The sequence below is a fragment of the Homo sapiens genome, chromosome 6 (assembly GCF_000001405.40).
Source record: "Homo sapiens chromosome 6, GRCh38.p14 Primary Assembly".
Taxonomy (NCBI): domain Eukaryota; kingdom Metazoa; phylum Chordata; class Mammalia; order Primates; family Hominidae; genus Homo; species Homo sapiens.
The window spans coordinates 5,026,102-5,047,809 of NC_000006.12; the positions used below are offsets into that span (position 1 = coordinate 5,026,102).

Sequence of the window (21,708 nt, forward strand, 5' to 3'; positions counted from 1 at the left end):
GGAAAACCTCTGTTGAAAGCCCCTTCAGTAGTTTAAAGTCTAAAGAGTAGCTGCTGCTACTTTTGATTTCTTCCTTAAAGAGGATCAATTAGAGCCCTCCGATCGCGTCCCCAAAGGTCCTGGTCTGTGCCTGCTGAGTCAGGAGAGGCCGACAGCGCTCCCTCCTGCGACCGAGGCACTTCTCCTTAATTGGTTTGAAAAATTGCAGCTGGATCCCGACAGCCGCTGCTCCCGGGGTGGGTGCGGAGGGAGGGAGCGAGGAGGGAGGGGGACAGCTTAGCCTCCCGCCTCCCAGAGCCTCTCCTGAGGCTCCCACCCAGCGCCTTTCTTTCCTTCCTCCCTTCGTTTATTTCTGGGACCCCTCCCCACAAACTTTCTTTAAAGCCTGGTCACGTGAGGTCTCCTCTGAGGTTTTGCTCTCTGCGGGTCTGGACGGAGTTTCTGGAGGCAGCACTTCCCGAGTCGCTAGAGAGTCACTTTCCTGGTCTCTGCCCCGCCGGAGCAGGTGACTCTGCTGTTTCTGCCTTTGTTAGCCCATGTCTTGTTTTCTCTCCAGCATTCATTCTGTGCCCTGGTGTCCCGGAGCGCTGAGCCTGCCCTGGTGACTCCATAGGCTTCCTGGGGAAGGCAGAGCCACTGCCATGTGTCCATGGGTCCCCGGGAGAGGCAGTGGACAGCAACTCCTGGCTTCTGGCCTGGAGAAGAAGGAGCTGCGTTTGGCTTAGCCTGGGTTTCCTCCTCTATAAATGAAGGGGGCTGTATTAAATTAATCTGTTCTCAGATCCCCTTTTCTTTTTATATATTTATTTTTATTTTGTTTTGTTTTGTTTTGTTTTGTTTTACTTTCTGAGATGGAGTCTCACTCTGTCACCCAGGCTGGAGTGCAGTGGCGCTATCTCAGCTCACTGCAACCTCCACCTCCTGGGTTCAAGTGATTCTCCTGCCTCAGCCTCCGAGTAGCTGGGATTACAGGCGCCTGCCACCATGCCTGGCTAATTTTTGTATTTGTATTTTTATTTATTTATTTTACTATTATTATTATTTTGAGATGGAGTCTCACTCTGTTGCCCAGGCTGGAGTGCAGTGGCACAATCCTGGCTCACTGCAACCTCTGCCTCCTGGGTTCAAGCGATTCTCTTGCCTCAGCCTCCTGAGTAGCTGGGATTACAGGTGCTTGCCACCACGCCTGCCTAATTTTTTATAATTTTTGATAGAGTCAGTGTTTCCCCATGTTGGCCAGGCTGGTCTTGAACTCCTGACCTCAAGTGATCTGTCCACCTTGGCCTCCCAGAGTGCTGAGATTACAGACGTGAGCCAACGCACCTGGCCTAATTTTTGTATTTTTAGTAGAGACGGAGTTTCCCCATGTTGGCCAGGCTGGTCTTGAACTCCTGACCTCAGGTGATCCACTGACTCGGCCTCCCAAAGTGCTGAGATTACAGGTGTGAGCCACCACATCAGCTCAGATCCCTTTTTCTTTCTGCTGATAAAAATTCTGTTCAAACAAAACTGCCAGGAAACACACCCACAGAGCCCTGGAACTCAGCGCCACTCCTTGGTTCCCAGCTCTGACAGGTCCCCAGCAGCACAAAGCTGCCCAGGGCACAGCTGGAAAGCCAGCCAGGCTGGGTGCTCCCCAAGGCCCTCTCAGCTCTCACCTTCAGGGGTCTTGTGCCATGGAGTTTTCAGGAGGGGCCCTGGAGACAACAGGACCGGTGGCACCGCAGCCTTTCCCTTTCAGGGTGCTTAAGTGCCCCGGGCTGGTGGAGGGCTGGGCACAGGAGAGAGGCAAGTGGCAACAGCGTTTATGCTACGGAGGACTGTAGCCCCACTGTACCCTAAAGCGAGCTGGGGGAAACAGACGGGTGTTCCCAGCCCCATCTCCAACTCCCCTCCCCCATCCCCCAGAGACGGGGTTGAAGAGGAAGGCCAGATGAAGCTTTGGCCATTTTTTTCTCAGTGCAATGGAAAGTTATGGAAAGATTTTACATACAGGGTTCAGCATGATACAACTTACACATTTAAAAGATTTACATGTTTAAAAAAACTAGACTAGGCTGGGTGCAGTGGCTCACGCCTATAATCCCAGCACTTTGGGAGGCCGAGGCAGGCGGATCACTTGGGTTCAGGAGTTCGAGACCAGCCTGCCCAACATGGGGAAACCTCATCTCTACTAATAATACAAAAATTAGCCGGGTGTGGTGCTGCGCGCCTATAGTCCCAGCTAGTCGGGAGGCTGAGACGGGAGAATTGCTTGACCCGGGAGGCAGAGGTTGCAGTGAGCCGAGATCACACCACTGCACTCTAGCCTGGGAGACAGAGTGAGACTCTTTGTCTCAATAAATGAATGAATGAATGAATGAATGAATAGCCTGGGAGACAGAGTGAGACTCTGTCTCAATAAATGAATGAATGAATGAATGAATGAATAAATAAATAAATTTGACTAAAAGGTTGGAGAGTGGGTTGAGAGGATAAGTCTGGAGGCAGGAAAAACTGAGGAATGTATTCACCAATCTTATGAAGAGATGAAGGCGTACCCAAGAGAAGTGAAACCATATGTCCACACAAACACTTGAGCAAGAGTTGCTATAGGTTGAAGGTGTGTGTCTCCCCCAAATTCCTATGTTGAAATCCTCACCCCCAAGGTGATGGTATTTGGAGGCGGGGCCTTCGTGAGGTGACTGGGTCATAAGAATGGAGCCCTCATGAATGGGATTACTGCCATATAAAAGAGGACCCAGAGCATTCATTGGCCCCTTCTGCCATATGAGGACATAGTGAGAAGGTGCCATTATGGGCCAGGAAACAAGTCCTCAGCACACACCAAATCTGCTGGTACCTTTTCTTGAACCTGCAGCCTCCAGAATGGTGAGAAATGAATTTCTGTTGTTTGTGAGCCACCCAGCTGTGGTATTTTCCTATAGCAGCCCAAATGGATTAACACAGGAATGCGCATAGTCACACTACTCATAATCCCCCCGAAGTGGACACAACCCTGATGTCCACGGGCAGACAAAAGCATACTGTTATGTACCCGTGAATGGATAAACAAAAGCACTATATCCATACAAGAGGATATTGTCCGGCCATAAGAAGGAATAAAGTGATGATACTGATGTGTGCTACAACATGGAAACCTTTCAACAAACTTGAAAACATGCTGATTGAAAGAAGCCAGTGACAAAAGACCACATATTGTTGGATTCCATTTACATGAAATGTCCAGAACAGAGACACCTATAGAGACAAAAAGGAGATTTGTGGTTGCCAGGGAGAGGGGAAGGGGAGATGAGGAGTGGCTGCTCATGGATATGGGGCTTCTTTTGGGGTGATGGCATGTTCTGGAATAAGATAGCAGTGATGGTTGCACAACTTTGTGAATACACTAAAAACTACTGAATTGTATGCTTTAAAAGGATGAATATTATGGCAGTGAATTATATCTCAATTTTTTTTAATGTATAAAGAAGACCAAGCATCACAGCTCATCTGTAGTCTGTGCTTTGGGAGGCCAAGGCAGTAGGATTATTTGAGGCCAGGAGTTCAAAAATCAGTCAGACCAACACAGACCCCACCTCTACAACAAATTTAAAAAATAGCTGGGCATGGTGGAGCATGCCTGTAGTCCCAGCTAGTCAGGAGGCCGAAGCGGGAGGACTTCTTGAGCCCAGGAGTGCAAGGCTGCAGTGAGCTATGATCGCACCACTGCACTCCAGCCTGGGCAACACAGCAAGATCCTATCTCTTAAAAAACATAAAAAGTAAAAAGAAGAGAGGGAAAGAGAGAAAAAGATGATGGAAGCCGAGACAAAGATAGTCATGGGGATGGATGAAGCAGGTTCTAGAACTTACCGAAAAAAAAAGGAATAGAGTGTGCCAACAGCTTAGATATAGAGTGTGAGAGAGAAGAGTGGAGGCTGGTTCTCAGGCTCCAGAAGCATAAGCCTGCATGGAGCATAGCGTCACTGAGCAAGACAGGTGTGGAGGATGAGAAGCGGGCCACAGGATGGGAAGGGAATCTGTGTGGAGGCGGTGCCCTAAACATGCTGCCTTGAGGAGGGACCTCTACATGGGGTGGCCGGGCACAGCCAGGTGAGTGGAACGAAGCCACAGTCAGGGGAATCCTCAGGCCGCCCTCCCGTCTGCTCCCCTGAGTGCTGGGCTCTGCAACTCCCTCCATCCCAGCTCGTTTCTTGCCTTCTTTACAGGGATGCTATCTCCTCTAGCAAGCACGCCTTCCCCACCTTCCCCACCCCAGGCTGGGCCCTGGGCTCATCTTTATCTTTGGGATGGCTACGTGGGATTGAAAGGAGTGCCTCCCAGTCTGTGTGCCCTGCTAGGACAGGGATCTATTTGGTTTTTGTTTGTTTGTTTGTTTTCAACTTCATAACCAGACCAAGTTCTGGTACATGGCAGGTATACGAGACATGGTTACTGAACTGGACTAACATTTTATTTAGAGTTGGTCCATTCTCTTAATTACCTATCTGACCCTCATTCTTAGGCTATGATGGCCAAAACCCCATGTGGCATTCCAGGTGTGGACCTGCCACAAGGCAGTTGTGTGCGGGAGAGATCGCAGCGTGGGGTTAACTGGGCTGCTTCCCAGTCTTGGTTCTGCCCTGAGCTCGTTGCTTCTCTTCAGCCGGGTGAACATAAATCTCTCTAGGACTTCGTTATAAAGTAAGGCCTGTGCCCTAGATGTCCCTGGAGACAGCGCCATCTGGTGGAACTTCCTGTAACGATCGAGATGTTCCGTCTGTGCCGTCCAACATGGGAGCCATGCAGGACACATGGTGACTGAGCACTGGGACTGTGTGCCGCGTGACCAAGAGCAGCTCAGCTCTAAAGTCTCCTCCAGCTTTATGATGTCACTTCCTGTATCTTCTCTACACATTCTTTCCTTCAGCCTGTTGTTTGTAAGTTTTTATGTAGGAAAGTAGAAAATTCAGAATATGTTTCATCAGGTTTTTGTTTGGCAAAGTGTCAACATGTTTATAACAGAGTTAAAGATAAAGGAAACCTTTTGGGTTATTTTGGAGAATTGAGGGCAAGACAAAAGGCTCCCTAACTGCAGGGAAAGGGGAGGCAAGTCATGAGCTCTGAGAAGGCCTGGCAGTGTCTGTGAACACATGAGATGTGCCTGTCACCCCAACTCTGCCAAGGCAGCGTGCAAACAGCCCCTGTTGCACCTCCACTTTCTGCCTGGAGGCCCGAGCAACCGAAGGCTGTCACATCAGCCCAGCTACTGGGAAATGCCAATTTGGAAGCCCAGGACTTACCGCCAAACCTACGGGCCAGTCCCCCGTACATGTAAAAGTACACCCACCCCAGCATGGACATGATATTTATAGGAGTGTTTCTCAACTGAGGGCAATTTTGCCCCCTGGGGACATTTGGTTGTCACAAATGAGGGAGGGGGTGCTAGTGGCATCTAGTGGGTGGAGGCCAGGGGTGCTGCTCAACCTCCCACAGCCCACAGGACAGCCCCCACAACGGAATTACCCAGCTGCCCCAAACCTCGGTAGTGCTGAGGTTGTGATACCCTGATTTATGGCAACATTCCCTCTGAAAACACAAAGCTCTATTACTTGGATCCCTGGAGCAGAAGTAACTTTTTAATAAACAAAATGGCTTATTTTCAGACAATTTCATCATCTGGTTCTCTTTATTAACTATGAATAAGGCCAGCAGTTCTTCTTGTTTCCTGTTATTTACATCATATACAATTTATTAATATCTCACTTAGGTAGAGTGCAAATGACATAGCCAATTAAGTGAAAAAAAGAATCATCACAACATTTTAAAAATTATATTGATCAATGGAAACACTCAATCTTATATGAGAGGCATATTTTTCTACTTTGTTCTTGCATAATTTCAACTTTCTTTTCCTACTTTCACAGGAAAAATATATATGCACATATTTGTATTCATTTTAAATGGGCTATACTTTGTAATTACCACTAGGCTGTAAAAATGCTAGTATTTATAAATGCAGTTAGATAATATTTACCAGACAATATCATCAAGTATTTAATATTTAGATTCAAGAGCTTCATACGTATTAATTAACTATGAGCGTCTTGCAAGGTAATATTTTCTAGTTTCATTGAGGGAAACCAAGGCGTAATAAGGGATAAGCGGTTCCCTCAAGGCTGTAAGAAGGAGCAAGTTCCAAATATTCCTATATTTCTATTTCTTGGGTCTGTGTATACAAACTAGCAAATAATTACTTTTTAGTTTTAATAGCTCAACTTTTTATTCACTGTTTTTTAAAACTGAGTTTCATTGAGGTATAATAACATATTAAAATTAAAAGATACAGTTTAATGAGTTATGACTATTGTTTTTAAACTTATTGTTTACAGCAAAATTTGTTAAATGTACAATAAAAATAGATTTCAGAGGCGCAGTTTGACTACACAGTATCTTAGTACATGGCAAAGACCACAGTTGTTCAGTAAGTCAATAAAATCTCAATAATTTTGTCACATTGGGAGAAAGTCCAGTGTGACTGAATAGGAAGAATTTTGAATTGAGAATGTCTGTAGTTTTATTATGAATTAGGAGTTAGGGTATCCTGCTAGGAAGTCACAGTACAACTGACTTTACTTTTGGATCTCGCTGTCTTCATCCGGACGGGGATGGAGACTGAAAGAGGATTAGACTAGAAGATCTCTCGGGTTCCTTGCAGCCCAAATGTGCTGTGGCTTCCAGTCCATGCTTTCAGAACAGTCACCCCGGCCACTCCCTCCTGGAATTCCTCCTCCCCGCCTCCCGTCCCTCCACACCCTCCTGCTTTCTCCTCCTCCTGCTGCTCTTCCTTGACCTCCTTCCCAGCCTCTTCTGAAATGTGGGAATTCCGCAGGCTTTACCCCGGCCCTCTGATCCTGGCACTGCCCACTCTTCATGGCGGTAGCAGCCCCCTGCCTGCTGGTAATGCCCAAGTCTGTGTCTCCGCCCCACCTTCCCCTCCCCCACTCCCGTGGCCCCCGGAAAACATCAGATGGCCTCAGGATATTTGTCCATGGGTGTCCAGAGGCACGTCCAAATCCCCACGCCCAGACAGACTCTTCTCCCTCCCACCCCACATACTGCTTCTCTCCCCGTTTTCCTTGTTTAGGTGAAAAGCACCAGCACTCATTTCAATCTCAGAATCACTCCCGGGGGTGTGTTCTTCCTGCCACACGGAATCTTTATGCTAGACATGAAACAACTAGGCTTAGGGAAGTGGAGGAGCATGTCTAAGCCACACAGCCCGCCAGGGGTGTCTGACTGCAAGGCTAGGGCCCTTGACCACTGCCCTACACCCCAGCATGTGCCCCAGCCGGGGACCCCGGGCGCTGTCCTCAATGCCTCCCCCTCACCACTCACCGCCGCCCCATTGCCAGGACCCGAGACTCACAGGGGTCTCAGGTCAGCTCCCCTGAGGACCTCTATCCCTGGCTCCGTTCACCCACCCTCATCCTCACCTGGATACATCCATCTCCTAACCAGTCTCCCGTCTTCCTCTCTTCAAGCCACACTTTTAAGTTGAGAAAAGGTGCTGTTCCTACAACACAGATCAAGCCACTCCCTTGCTTGAAACACTCCAGTGGCAGTCCACAGCTTCTGGGACAAGAGCCAGCCTGTCACTTGGCAGCAGCCTCTCCATCTTCGTCTCCAGCCTTACAGTCCGATCTCATTATTTCTAGATTCCATACCTGCAAATTCACCTCTTCACTAAAATGTGTTTGTAAACCAAATCAATACTTGTGGCTTCACAGTGATTCACAGACTTGTACAGAGCAGGGAAAAAATCTGAGTAGTCCAAGGCATCTGTTCCCGGCTGAGGTGAAGCAAGGTGACCCCTCTGCTTTCTTGTCCCAGCTCTCACACTAGAAACAAGTGGTCCTTCCTGCTGTCTATCCAGAGCCATGCTTTTGCATTTTTGTACTTTTGTTGGTGATTTTGCTGTTTAAAATGTCCCCAGGCACGGTGCTGAAGTGCTGTCTACTGTCTCTGAGTGCAGGAGGCTGCGATGTGCCTGTGGAGACAATACCTGTGCTGGATGAGGTGCCTTCAGCGTGAGTTGTAGTGCTGTTGGCAGTAAGTTCAGTGATACTGAATCAACAGCCAAATACATCGAGGCCATGGAAGAGGAAATTCACTTCTGCAGGCCCCTCTAGAAAGTGCTTCTATAGTAGGTTGTGAAACTACAGAAAAGAAGGGAAAGCAGCTAAATTTGTGGATTCGTGAGATGATGTCTGATACAGTTTGGATGTTTGTCCCATCCAAGTCTCATGTTGAAATGTGATCCCCAGTGTGGGAGATGGGGCCTGGTGGGCGGTGTTTGGGTTATGGAATCTGGTCCCTCATGAATGGCTTGGAGTCATCCTTGCAGTAATGAATGAGTTCTTGCTCTTCTGAGTTCCCATGAGAACTGATTGTTAAAAAGAGCCTGGCATCTCCTCCTCTCTCTCTTGCTTCCTCTCTCACCATGTGACTCGCCGGCTCCCCTGCGCCTTCTGCCATGAGCGGAAGCAGCCTGAACCCCTTAGCAGAAGCAGATGCTGGCACCATGCTTCCTGTACAGCCTGCAGAACCAAGAGCCAAATAAACGTTTCTTTATAAATTACCCAGCCTAGGTGTTCCTTTACAGCAATGCTTTTTTTTTTTTTTTTTCAAAAAGCGTGGTAGCAACATTGTTGTGAGTCTGAAAGCCAAAGAAGTTTACAGTCAGGAACATGTCAAGCCCTTCTCAGCTAGTGCTGACTGGCTCTCATGTTCCAGAAGGTGATACAATGTGAAAAAGGTTAAACCTGCAGGGCAGGCGAGGCGAGTTTTGCAGATCAGGAGGCTGTGGGAGAATTGTAAAAATACCCGCTGAGTGCTATACAAGAAAAGAGTTATGTGGAAGGGCAGGTTCTCAATGCTGATGAGACCTGCGTGTTCTACTAGGATGTTGATAAACAAACCTCTGTAACACAAATGGTGTTTCAGCTGATGAAAACGTTGTGACCAGACGCTCACAGAACCCAACCCATGCTTTCTCCAGGAGAAATAGCTCAGTATTTGCTAGTTCAGGGTTTGAAGAATGTTCGTAGAACATAACTACCTCGAATCACAAGAATTGGCTGTGCTTCCCACTACCCTTACCCTGGGGGGTCCAGTCCCATTGAACTCTCTGTAGTTGCCTGAAGATGCTTTTCCTGAGGTGCCCTCTCCTCTCCATCTAGTCACCCAGATCCATCCTTTAAGCCTCAGCCCCAGTGATGCCCAGGAAGTCTCTCTGGACCCTCCCCTAGGGCAGCTGAAAATCTTTTCTTCAGTGCCAGGTGACATGCCCTGCACACACCTCTGGCTCAGCGTGCATCGCAGCAGCGGGATCCGTCACACTCTCCTCCACCTCCCCCACCAGCTGCTTCAAGGCAAGGCTCTTTCTCCTTCCTTCCTTCCTTCCCTCCCTCCTTCCCCTCCCCTCCCCTCCTTTCCCTCCCTCCCCTCCCTTCCCCTCCTCCCCTCCCTCCCTCCCCTCCCCTCCCCTCCTTCCTTCCTTCCCTCCCTCCCTCCCCTCCCTTCCCCTCCTCCCCTCCCTCCCTCCCTCCCCTCCCCTCCCCTCTTTCCCTCCCTCCCTCCCCTCCCCTCCCCTCTTTCCCTCCCTCCCTCCCCTCCCCCCCTTCCCTTCCTTCCTTCCTTCCCCCCCCCACATATGTATGTATGTATATTAGTATATGTGTATGCATATAGACATATTTGGGGAGGTGGTGAAAAACAATACTTCAAGATATTTCTTATGTTGCACTTTTATTTCTAAATTAACCTACAGTATCATGCCTATTTAATTGATTTGATGTTGTGTTCTGGAATTTAGCACAGAGCCTGGCCCAAAGAAAGGACAATAAATATTTGCTGATAAAAAGCAAAAAGCTTAACAATTCTATTCATTTTACCTAACTGAAGTTCCTTGTGTCATGAATTTTTAATAAATAGTTTAAAATTAACATGTTAAGAGCATGTTCCCTTAAATATTTTAAGTAATTCCTCTGCCCCCTCTCTTTTTAATTTGAGCTATATCTATAATAAAATTTTGTTGAGCAAAATAAACTCCAGCTTAATCCAAATTGAATAATTAAAAATGTGGAAGAAGTGGTCTGAATTAATGAGTTTTCTCAGTGTAATTCCAGAATATTGAGCCAGAGGAGATCTTAATTTACACGTGTGTTAATTAGGCTCTTCCAGGTTAGCCTAGGAGATAGGAGGGAAAAAACAGAGAGCGCCTCAGCAGGCTGCTGAGGCCTGAAAGGAAGGTTATTCACAGGCAACCTGGGCGTGGTTTCAACAGCAGCTCTGAGATGCAACACCAGCTGCCTCCGCTGAGCTGGCATGTGCTGCTCCAGGAGCTGGGGCTGCTGTCATAGAGCCCTGGCCACCTCAGCCCCTGCTTGGCCATGGTTTGTCCTGACTCGTTACTTCTACCACTGCTTTCTCTGCCTGCCGTCTCCTTCTGTCCAGACTAGCGAGTGCTGATGGTCTCTACAGTTTCAAATTCAAATCCCTCTGCAAAGAAAGCATCCGATTGCTTCAGATAGTCACTCTCCTTCCTGCTGGACTGAGATCTTGCATCAATTTCTCTCCTGAGATAAAGGCCTCCCTCTAAATGAGCTTCCCTTCAGCCCAACATCTTCTCCTTGGGCCCGGACAGTGAGAAGACACAGTCCACTTTCTCAGGAGACCTGCGGGCACGGGATACGCTCAAGTTATACCACTGGGAGCTCCTTTCTGAGTCAACAGAAGCAGAAACTGATGCCTGAGAAGTTAGGAGGTCCTTCCTAGGAGGGTGCCCTTCAAAGTCCCCTGTTATCTAGGTCTCTGAAGCACATCACTGCCCCAGTATTGAGAAGTCTTGTCTCTTTAGCTTGTATTTTTTTTTTTTTTTTTTTATTGATCATTCTTGGGTGTTTCTCGCAGAGGGGGATTTGGCAGGGTCATAGGACAATAGTGGAGGGAAGGTCAGCAGATAAACAAGTGAACAAAGGTCTCTGGTTTTCCTAGGCAGAGGACCCTGCGGCCTTCCGCAGTGTTTGTGTCCCTGGGTACTTGAGATTAGGGAGTGGCGATGACTCTTAACGAGCATGCTGCCTTCAAGCATCTGTTTAACAAAGCACATCTTGCACCGCCCTTAATCCATTTAACCCTGAGTGGACACAGCACATGTTTCAGAGAGCACAGGGTTGGGGATAAGGTCACAGATCAACAGGATCCCAAGGCAGAAGAATTTTTCTTAGTACAGAACAAAATGAAAAGTCTCCCATGTCTACTTCTATCCACACAGACCCGGCAACCATCCGATTTCTCAATTTTTTCCCCACCCTTCCCGCCTTTCTATTCCACAAAACCGCCATTGTCATCATGGCCCATCCCCAATGAGCCGCTGGGCACACCTCCCAGACGGGGTCCTGGCCGGGCAGAGGGGCTCCTCACTTCCCAGTAGGGGCGGCCGGGCAGAGGCGCCCCTCACCTCCCGGACGGGGCGGCTGGCCGGGCGGGGGGCTGATCCCCCCACCTCCCTCCCGGACGGGGCGGCCGGCCGGGCAGGGGGCTGACCCCCCCACCTCCCTCCCGGACGGGGCGGCTGGCCGGGCAGAGGGGCTCCTCACTTCCCAGTAGGGGCGGCCGGGCAGAGGCGCCCCTCACCTCCCGGACGGGGCGGCTGGCCGGGCAGGGGGCTGACCCCCCCTCCCCCCTCCCGGACGGGGCGGCTGGCCGGGCAGAGGGGCTCCTCACTTCCCAGTAGGGGCGGCCGGGCAAAGGCGCCCCTCACCTCCCGGACGGGGCCGCTGGCCGGGCGGGGGGCTGACCGCCCCCCACCTCCCTCCCGGACGGGGTGGCTGCCGGGCGGAGACGCTCCTCACTTCCCAGACGGGGTGGCTGCCGGACGGAGGGGCTCCTCACTTCTCAGACGGGGCGGTTGCCAGGCAGAGGGTTTCCTCACTTCTCAGACGGGGCGGCCGGGCAGAGACGCTCCTCACCTCCCAGACAGGGTTGCGGCCCAGCAGAGGCGCTCCTCACATCCCAGACAGGGAGGCGGGGCAGAGGTGCTCCCCACATCTCAGACGATGGGCGGCCGGGCAGAGACGCTCCTCACTTCCTAGATGGGATGGCGGCTGGGAAGAGGCGCTCCTCACTTCCTAGATGGGATGGCGGCCGGGCAGAGATGCTCCTCACTTCCTAGATGGGATGGCGGCGGGGAAGAGGCGCTCCTCGCTTCCTAGATGGGATGGCGGCCGGGCAGAGACGCTCCTCACCTTCCAGACTGGGCAGCCAGGCAGAGAGGCTCCCCGTATCCCAGACGATGGGGGGCCAGGCAGAGACGCTCCCCACTTCCCAGACGGGGTGGCGGCTGGGCAGAGGCTGCAATCTCGGCACTTTGGGAGGCCAAGGCAGGCGGCTGGGAGGTGGAGGTTGTAGCGAGCCGAGATCACGCCACTGCACTCCAGCCTGGGCACCATTGAGCACCGAGTGAACGAGACTCCGTCCGCAATCCCGGCACCTCGGGAGGCCGAGGCTGGCGGATCACTGGCAGTTAGGAGCTGGAGACCAGCCCGGCCAACACAGCAAAACCCCGTCTCCACCAAAAAAAAACCGAAAACCAGTCAGGCGTGGCGGTGTGCGCAGGCACCCGGCAGGCTGAGGCAGGAGAATCAGGCAGGGAGGCTGCAGCGAGCCGAGATGGCAGCAGCACCGTCCAGCCTTGGCTCGGCATCAGAGGGAGACCGCGGAAGGAGACCGTGGAGGGAGAGAGAGGGAGAGGGAGAGGGAGAGGGAGAGGGAGAGGGAGAGGGAGAGCTTTAGCTTGTATTTTTAAAATGTTTGGGTTAATCCTGCAAAGTCTGGATGAACGGCCACACCTGGTTTATGGGTAGTTTACACATGTTTCTTTTATCAAAATTATTTATGGCTAAAATTTAAGGTTGCCTGATATCACTGGAACACTGAAATGTGGGCCCACAATACAGTATTTATTTTCATTTTTTTTTCATTAATCTAAATAAATGAGTTGTTGCTTTAAAAATAAATATGTAACACTATAAGAGAAACTGGTATGAAGCTTACCGGAAGCCACCATTACTTAAAAGCTATTAGTATTGTTTTGTCTTAGAATTTCAAAGCAAGGTAATATGTAACATGGCATTTACTCAATTAATATTTATTGAGAACCAACTATATTCCAGGCACTGTTTTAAGTGCTGGGAATACAATAGTGACCAAGACAAACATATTCCTGCTTTCATGAAAGTTAAATAGTATGTGTTCAATCAACCTGTTTCCCCATTTTTTAGAACAATGAAGAGCAGGGAAGGGGTGGAATGAGGGTCAAAAGTAAGTCCTAGAGTCCTGCCCCAAAGTTTTCCAATTACAATCTAAAGTAACAACCTTATGCCACCAAATTCGCAATTTGAACATTGAAAACGGCAATTACCTAACTAAGCAAGCTGTGAGTCCCTGCTTTCTGATATTTTGTAATCCTGCTATCATCTGTGAAACATCATAATTATAATAATAAAAATCGGAAACAGAGAAAGGGAGCATTCTGACATCCAATTAAAAATTAACACTAAATAAGTCAAACTCCCCACAGAGTTTTAGATATGAAAATTGAAAATCTGATCTAAAATTTAAATGAGGTGAAAAGGACCAAGAAAAGCCAAGACATTCTTAAGAAGAAAGAACTAAATAAAAGAAATTCACTTACAGATGTAAAGACTTAATATAAAGCTACAAGAATTAAAGGAGTAATGTTGAAACAAGAATAGAAAATAGACCAATAGAAAAGAACAGAGCCTAAAAACAGACCCACACACGTGTGGACACATATCTGTGACAAAGGAAATACTATAGATTAGTGATTAAAAATATATTTAAGAAATTAATCCTGATAGATCAATTAGATAGCCATATGCAAAAAGAAAATCTTAAAACATATCCTAAACTATCCACAAAAATCAATTTCAGAAGGAATGTAGCTTTAAACAGCCTGGGCAACATAGCGAGACCCCATCTCTACAAAAAATATTAAAAAATTAGCTGAGCATGGTGGCGCACGCCTGTAGTCCCAGCTACTTCGGAGGCTGGGTGGGAGGATTGCTTGAGCTCGAGAGGTTGAGGCGAGCTATGATCATGCCAGTGCACCCCAGCCTGGGTAACAGAGTGAGGCCCTATCTCTAACAATAGATAGATAGATAGATAGATAGATAGATAGATAGATACATACATACATACATACATACATACATACATACATACATAAAGAAATTTCTTTTAAAGAAAGAAGGCTGGGCATGGTGGCTCATGCCTGTAATCTCAGCATTTTGGGAGGCCCAAGTGGGAAGATTGCTTGAGCTCAGGAGTTCAAGACCAGCCTGGGCAACATAGGGAGACCTCATCTCTAAAAGAAAAAAAAAAGAAGAAATAAGATTTAGTGTTCCATAAATGAGTTGAGTGACTATAGAAAACAATAATCTATTGTATATTTCAAAACAGCTTCAACTTCGAGAATAATTTGAATGTTTTCAGCATAAAGAAAAGATAAATGTTTAAGGTGAGGATATCCCAATTACCCTGATTTGATTATTATACATTATATGAATGTACCAAAGTATCACATTACCCCCAAAATATGTACACCTACTACGTATCAGTAAAAACCTGACTATATAAAACCTAATTAATAGAAGGATTATCTTTACTGCTTCTCCATTTGACAATCCAATTTTGTCAAAATTTGGGGAAACAGAAAAAAAAAATGGTGCCTGATGGTGGATTACCGCAACTCTAATCTGTGGTTCCATGCATAAAGAGCCCCATATGCGAGACCAAAATTCAGACTTGACCATGTTCTTTGAATAGCTTCTTAAGAAGTTACAGTTAGCTGGGCATGGTGGTGGCCCGTGCCTGTAGTCCCAGCTAATTGAGAGGCTGAGGCAGGGATTCACTTGAACCCAGGAGGTGGAGGTTGCAGTGAGTGGAGATCACTCCACTGCACTCCAGCCTGGGTGACAGAGTGAGACTCGTCTCAAAAAAAAAAAAGTTACACCTAGGTGTGTATTTTGGCACAAAGGAGTGACAAACTTATAGTTAAAAGCTCAATAACTTCAGTGTGGTGTAAATGTGGTTTATAGGCTATGTTTGTGATTGCTAAAAATAATTCTAGTTTACCTCAAAATCCTTCTGTTTCCCAAAATTAAGTGCCTGGCCAGCTGTCATAAATTACATATTCCGTTTGGTTTTTTGTAAAGGTTACATGTTCAAGACTGTGAAAATAAGATGTTCTCTCTAAAGGCTACTATGCCTGGTCTGTAAATGAACCTGTTAAATGCTGTATTTGCTCCACCAGCTTACTATAGAATGTTACTTAATACAATATCATACTTATTACAGTTTTTACTATAGGAGTGTAATACGTAAAATTAATCTCTATTTTAATGGGCCCATGTTTCGTCTTTCACCATCCTTTAAACTGCTGTGAATTTTTTTGTCATGACTTGAAAGCAAGGATAGAGAAACACTTTAGAGATATCTGGGTTTTTTTCCCATTCCAGAACTTGTGAGTAAAATCATATTTGCTTGATATTTATAGTCATGAACTCCTAAGCTGGCAGCTACAACCAAGAACCAAAATATGGTGCATTCTGCTTCTTGTAATTCATCTCTGCTAATAAACTATAAGAAGCAAGGAAAATTAGGGAAAATATTTTATTTGGATGGTTTCTATAAACAAAGGACTATAATTCTTGTACATTATTTTTCATTTTTGCTGTTTCTTTGAGCAGTCTTATGTGCCACACAATGATTTAAGGTATTTGTTTTCTATAAGAATTGTTTTAAAAGTATTCTTGTTACCAGAGTAGTTGTATTATATTTCAAAATGGAAGATGATTTTTAAAAGCCTGAGTACTGATCTAAGATGCAATTGTATGAACTCTACTCTGGAGGGAGGGGAGGGTGTCCGTGGAAATTTTAAGACTTTTATTTTTGTGTGTCATCAAATATAGGTAAAAATAATTGCGCAATTCTGCTGTTTAAACAGGAACTATTGGCCTCCTTGGCCCTAAATGGAGGGGCTGATATTTCAAGTTGATTATTTTATTGTAAAATAATCCAACCTAATTTTTTTTAATTTGGTTGAATGTTTTTCTTGTTAAATGATGTTTAAAAAAATAAAAACTGGAAGTTCCTGGCAAAAAGAAAAGCCCCATATGCAATATTCAGTATTATTAAAATAATCGGCACCACCCAGTCAATGACTGGTATTTTATTATTACAGATTTGGCTGCTGTGTTCTGTTCATTGCCTCCTTCAACAACCTTTCAGCACAGTTTGCCTTCACCTCTAACGGGTCACAATTTACCTTTTCTAGGCTACCCATGGGGACCTCAACAGCTTTGCCATTGCACACTATCTTTGCAGACAAGATCTTAATCACATCCAACTTTCTGCAGTTGCACAGGGTACCTCAGACCCACATCCCAGATGACATTCCTCAGAAGCTCGCAGCTGGAGATGACATCACCTTAGACAACATCACCCTAGCCCAAGACATCGCTATTAGAGATACATCACCTGGACACTAAAGCCTCCAACCCAGTGACACTCTCAAGGTGCTGACAAAATGGACATGGACATTTGTTGCTTTTCTTCTTTTGAATTAGGAACTCTATTGTGTTTCCTGAATTTACTGTCTGCTTGGCCCATGATCCTGGTATGTTCCTTGCTCTCTGCCAAAACATGCACCGTCCCCTCCACACCTAAAGGAAAACCTGGTAGAAGCTACTACTCTCAATGCCATTCTAAAATTGACGAAGAGTATTATTTTCCCCAAGAGGCAGCTGCTGCAGGCCAGTGAATCCTCTGGACCCTGGGGAGAGGGTCATACACTCCCTAGTGACTTCTACTGTATGCTCCAGCTTTCCACCAGGACCTCCTGCCCTGTCCCCAACTGTAACGACCACAACCACCCCATCCCCTTGGTTACACACAAATATCACCAGTCTTTACATGTACTTTACTGACTTCTCAGATAATACCCTCCAACAAGATAACTGCAGGACTTGCCACCATGACCTGAGAAATACACCAAGATATTATTGTCCAATTTTTTTGAGATATATATATATTTCTCATACTTTTAACATACTCTGCAATCCACCAAGATATTGGTAGAGACCCTGGAAATTTCAAATCTATTTCGTCTGCTAATGCCATGTGAATGGGAAACTTAGATACAGGCTGGCCTACAAGGACTCCTTATACTTCAATTTTTGTTCCTCCTTTCAACTCTCATAAAAAATATTTTCTGTACTATTTAGGGCAAATGATGGCCTTCTTTCTAAGTCTCATCCATCATTGCTGCAAAGGTGCCTTAGTTTGATGTTAAAGTGTCACAGGGCCAATGTATTGACCATGTTTCTGGCGTCTATAAAGTCGATGTTTTAATATCTGTCCTACATGCATACACCAAACATTCCTTGATCTGGAAAACCCAACAGTATGCTTTGCTTCAGCCTCAGGCCTCCCTTGTCGCCTCCTCTGTGCCACCCCCCATTCCTCGGGAGTCCTCCTCCTCCCAGGGGCGCACTTTTCAAATACAAACCAACCAATCCAGAGCCCACACCCCAACCACCTCCTTTATTGGTCTCTCACATGCTGGGCCACTATCCACTTTCCCTAATCACCCAAAGTCAGGTACCAGACAATTAGGGACAGCCCCTATACCCCAGAGCCTGCTGAAATTAGCAAACTGGCCAATCCCGAGTCTGTTTACTTTGCCTTCCTGTTTCTTCCCAAGGAAATCACAAAAAAAGGCTCTTGTCCACAGCCCCCCTCTCGCTCTGCCTCCTGCTTCCCTGTGCGGCCCTGTGGTGTGGTGCACACCTTCCTCTTGGGAACTGTGTGAAACTATCTCCTAATCCTCTCCGTTGGCCTTAGTATACCTCAAATTTTTTGTATTGATACACTTTTTTTTGTGGGGTTTTTTTTGTTTGTTTGTTTTTTGTTTGTGAGACGGAGTTTCACTCTTGTCTCCCAGGCTGGAGTGCAGTGGTACGATCTTGGCTCACTGCAACCTCTGCCTCCTGGGTTCACCTGTGATTCTCCTGCCTCGGCCTCCCGAGTAGCTGGGATTACAGGCGCACACCACCACGCCTGGTTAATTTTTGTGTTTTTAGTAGAGATGGGGTTTCACCATGTTGGCCAGGCTGGTCTCGAACTCCTGACCTCAAGTGATCTGCCCGCCTCGGCCTCCCAAAGTGCTGGGATTACAGGCGGGAGCCACCATGCCCGGCTGACACACTGTTTTCTTTTAAACAGCTGGGAAACCTCTTATCCTCATCACCAGTGCCAGGGTCCAGCTTCAGGAGGGCAGGGCTCACCTGCTTTACTTCCAGATCACCATGTGCAGCGTGGAGCTTCCCTCTGACGTGTTTGTTGGATTTGTTTCAAAAAGGCGGCCATGGTTTCTTTTTTTCCTTCCTCGGCCCTGATTAATTTCAACAGAAGAAAATGTATCCCCTCTAGTTTGTGATGGAATCCAAGCTTAATTAGCCATTCATGGTGCTAAACTGTCCTGCACTGGATGACCCAATCGCTTCTGATTTTCCAAGCTTGGCTCTCAGACCATCCTGGTGGAAGAAACACTAGCAGTCTGCCCAATCTGAATGCAAATCCAGAATAATCTTTTCTTTTGTTGTTACACAGTTATGAGTGCAATTTTTAAATGGCTGCTACTCTACAGCCTGCCTGCCTTATGCTTTCTCCTGGGCACGCAGGAAAGTGAGAGCTTCCACTCCAAAGCAGAGATCCTAGTGACACTAAGTCAGGTAATAATCTCTCCAGCTGGACCTCATGCACTCACATGGACAACACACTTCTCTCCTTCAGTGATCATCATCCTTGTACCATGTTGGTGGCATGCTGTAATCGTGACTCAACATCCGGTTGCCAATTGCTATGTAACAAACCACCTCAACATTCAGTGGCTTGAATTGAAAGCAGGGTCTTGAAGAGATATTTGCACATTTCATCCTCCCAGCAGCATTATTCACAACAGCCAATAGGCAGAAGCAACCCAATGTCCAACCATAGATGAGTGGATAACCAAAATGTAGTCCATCCATACAATGAAATATGATTCAGCCTTAACAAGGAAGGAAGTCCCGCCACGTGCTACAACATGGATGGACCTTGAGGACACTATGCTAAGTGAAGTAAGCCAGGCACAAAAGGACAAATACTCTATGATTCCATTTTATAGGGTACCAAAGAGAATCAAACTCACAGAGATAGAAAGTAGACTGGGGTGGCCAGGGACTCGGGGAGAGAGGAAAGGGCAGTTATTGTTTAAAAGGTACAGAGTTTCAGTTTGGGAAGATGAAAATGTTCTGGAAACGGTTAATGGTGATTTTACATTGTTTATGTTACCACGATTTGTAAAAGAGCAGCTGCGCTGAGAATGAGCATGCTTGTCATTGGCAGCTCTCTGAGATTTTCAGTGCCTCTTACTGGCTTGTTAAGAAGACGGCAGATTCCTCTCCCCGTCTGCTTCTTTCATTATAAAATTCCCATTTCCATTTTGCCTCTAGGTAGAAGCTCACGGAACTCAAATGGGAAATGATGATGGCAGGATTTTCCTGCCGAAAAGAGGTGTCTCAAAAGAAAAACATATTGTATTTAACATGGAGAAATGAAATCCTCCAAAGCGAGCTTTATGAACTGAATTACCCAGAACGGACTTACCTCTATTGTCAGTATTTTTCTGCTGCCCCTTTGGGCTTCTGGTGCCTGGATAACTAAAAGAGCAGGACATCGTGCTGCTTAGTGGGCTTTGCAGTGGGAAGCGGGAACGTCTACCTGCATGAGCACGGGGCACTCTGCCCAGAGCTTGGGCACATTCCCCTAGGCACAGGAGTAAGGAAGAAGTCTCCAGTGTAGGTTAGGAAATAGGCCTTCAGCATGAGCTTACCACAGCTTTTTTAAGGAAAAAATTAGTGGCTTAAAATAATATTCCACTTTTTTTTTTTTGAGATGGAGTCTCACTCCGTTTCCCACGCTGCAGTGCAGTGGTGCAATCTCAGCTCACTGCAAGCTCTGCCTCCTGGGTTCACGCCATTCTCCTGCCTCAGCCTCCCGAGTAGCTGGGACTACAGGTGCCCGCCACCACACCCGGCTAATTTTTTGTATTTTTAGTAGAGACGGGGTTTCACCGTGTTAGCCAGGATGATCTCGATCTCCTGACCTCGTGATCCACCCGCCTCGGCCTCCCAAAGTGCTGGGATTACAGATATTCCACTATTTTTTATCATAATTGTGTGGACTGACTGGATTCAGCTGGGTGATTTGCACTCGGAGTCTCTCGCGTGGCTGCCGTCTTCTGAAGGCTGGACGTCCCACATGGCTTCTTTACTAATACATCTGGTGCTTCAGCTGGGACAGCTGGGACAGCTGGCGGCTGCACAGGCATCTCGCTCTTTGCACACAGGCTCCCCATATGCTTAGTTTGAGCTTGGTGATTTTAAAGTAGTTGAACTTAGATGGCAGCTGGCTTCCCTCAGAGTAAATATGCCAAGATACCCAGGTGGAAGCTGTAAGGTTTCTAATGACCTAGTCTGAGATTTCACACCAAGATGGCTTCCGTCATATTCTGTTGGTCAAAAATAAGCCACACGGTGGGGCATGGTAGCACACACCTGTAACGCCAACACTTTGGGAGGCCAAGAAGGGTGGATCGCTTGAGCCCAGGAGTTCGAGACCAGCCCGGGCAACATGGTGAAACCCCGTCTCTACAAAAGAATACAAAAATTAGCTGGGCATGTTGGCACACCTCTGTGGTCTCAGCTACTTGGGAGGCTGCGGTGGGAGAATCTCCTGAGCCCAGGGAAGTTGAGGTTTCAGTAAGCCATGATCATGCCACTGCACTCCAGTCTGGGTGACAGACTGAGACCCTATCTCAAAAAAAATAAAAGCTACAGGTCAACCCAGATTCAAGGGGATAGGATTACACAAAGTCACAGATTCAGGAAGGTATAATTTATTGGGGAACCGTCTTTGGAGACTAGCTACCACAATCTGTCACCATCTTTTAGATAAGACGATCAACATATTTCTGAGTATACTTTAGATTTCCACTATCAGTGCATTTTCTGAAACTTCCCCAGTCTTAGCACTGAAGGTCCTGCACCCCAGGAAATATCTATCAGTCTTTGTCAAACCAGGATGGTTGGTCACCCTACTTTTAGACCTCCTCATTTTCATGAACTCAATATTGCATAAGGTTGATCTTCCAAAAACATGTATCTGCCTTAAAATTGTGATTTCCATCCTGATGAGGTCTCCTCATATTCCTTTGTCTTTCTGGTTTGTATAGGATCCACTTGACTTCAGAGCTGTAGAAATCCAATAATATGGCAGTGATGATGCATTCTTTTATTGGCCCACAGTTATTATTTTAATCCAAGATACAGCTGAACACCATATCTTAGATCTAAACTCTCATACAATAAGCCTTAAAATGTAACTAATATAAATCTGGGAGTTCATATGACCCTGCCTTGGTGGGAGTGACATATTCAAAAAACCAACAATTTGACAAAAAATATAACCTAAAAACAATTCAAGTTGTATTTGGACTGTGAACACCAATACGGTATTAGTGTTAATACATACATGC

At 46.8% G+C, this 21,708-nt stretch overlaps 1 protein-coding gene and 1 long non-coding RNA gene across 7 annotated transcripts in view, besides 3 other annotated features; one reads left to right on the forward strand and one right to left on the reverse strand.

Annotated features, from left to right (window-relative positions):
* The window catches only part of LYRM4-AS1 (LYRM4 antisense RNA 1), a 236,681-nt gene that overhangs the window by 22,286 nt on the left and 192,687 nt on the right, over window positions 1-21,708 (forward strand). The window contains exons 1-2 of one of the 5 annotated variants that reach the window (NR_126019.1): window positions 3,871-4,094; window positions 16,405-17,488. The exons of 1 other annotated variant lie outside the window; for it this stretch is intronic. This is a non-coding gene — a long non-coding RNA (LYRM4 antisense RNA 1). Of the gene's footprint in view, window positions 1-3,870; window positions 4,095-16,404; window positions 17,489-21,708 lie in introns of those variants that run through there. 3 more of the 5 variants (NR_126018.1, NR_126016.1, NR_126017.1) reach the window with 3 other exon arrangements.
* Window positions 1,636-2,135: an enhancer, noted in NCBI's record as "H3K4me1 hESC enhancer chr6:5027971-5028470 (GRCh37/hg19 assembly coordinates)". NCBI's record gives its function as "activates a minimal SCP1, AML or CMV promoter by ChIP-STARR-seq in primed H9 embryonic stem cells {active_cell/tissue: H9 hESC(primed)}" and the evidence as "EXISTENCE:reporter gene assay evidence [ECO:0000049][PMID:30033119]".
* Window positions 4,697-4,857: a silencer, noted in NCBI's record as "fragment chr6:5031032-5031192 (GRCh37/hg19 assembly coordinates)". NCBI's record gives its function as "represses an EF-1alpha promoter that drives an FKBP-Casp9 reporter gene in an ReSE screen in HepG2 liver carcinoma cells {active_cell/tissue: HepG2}" and the evidence as "EXISTENCE:reporter gene assay evidence [ECO:0000049][PMID:32094911]".
* Window positions 5,652-21,708, reverse strand: part of LYRM4 (LYR motif containing 4) — a 229,198-nt gene continuing 213,141 nt past the window's right edge. The window contains exon 4 of one of the 2 annotated variants that reach the window (XM_017011084.3): window positions 5,652-8,581. In XM_017011084.3, the coding sequence (XP_016866573.1) occupies window positions 8,480-8,581 (102 nt within the window). In that variant the 3' untranslated portion in view covers window positions 5,652-8,479. Of the gene's footprint in view, window positions 8,582-21,053; window positions 21,425-21,708 lie in introns of those variants that run through there. The other variant, XM_017011083.3, reaches the window with a different exon arrangement.
* Window positions 18,521-19,720: an enhancer, noted in NCBI's record as "BRD4-independent group 4 enhancer chr6:5044856-5046055 (GRCh37/hg19 assembly coordinates)". NCBI's record gives its function as "activates an origin of replication core promoter dependent on BRD2, P300/CBP, MED14 and CDK7 cofactors, and independent of BRD4, by STARR-seq in HCT116 cells {active_cell/tissue: HCT116}" and the evidence as "EXISTENCE:reporter gene assay evidence [ECO:0000049][PMID:35650434]".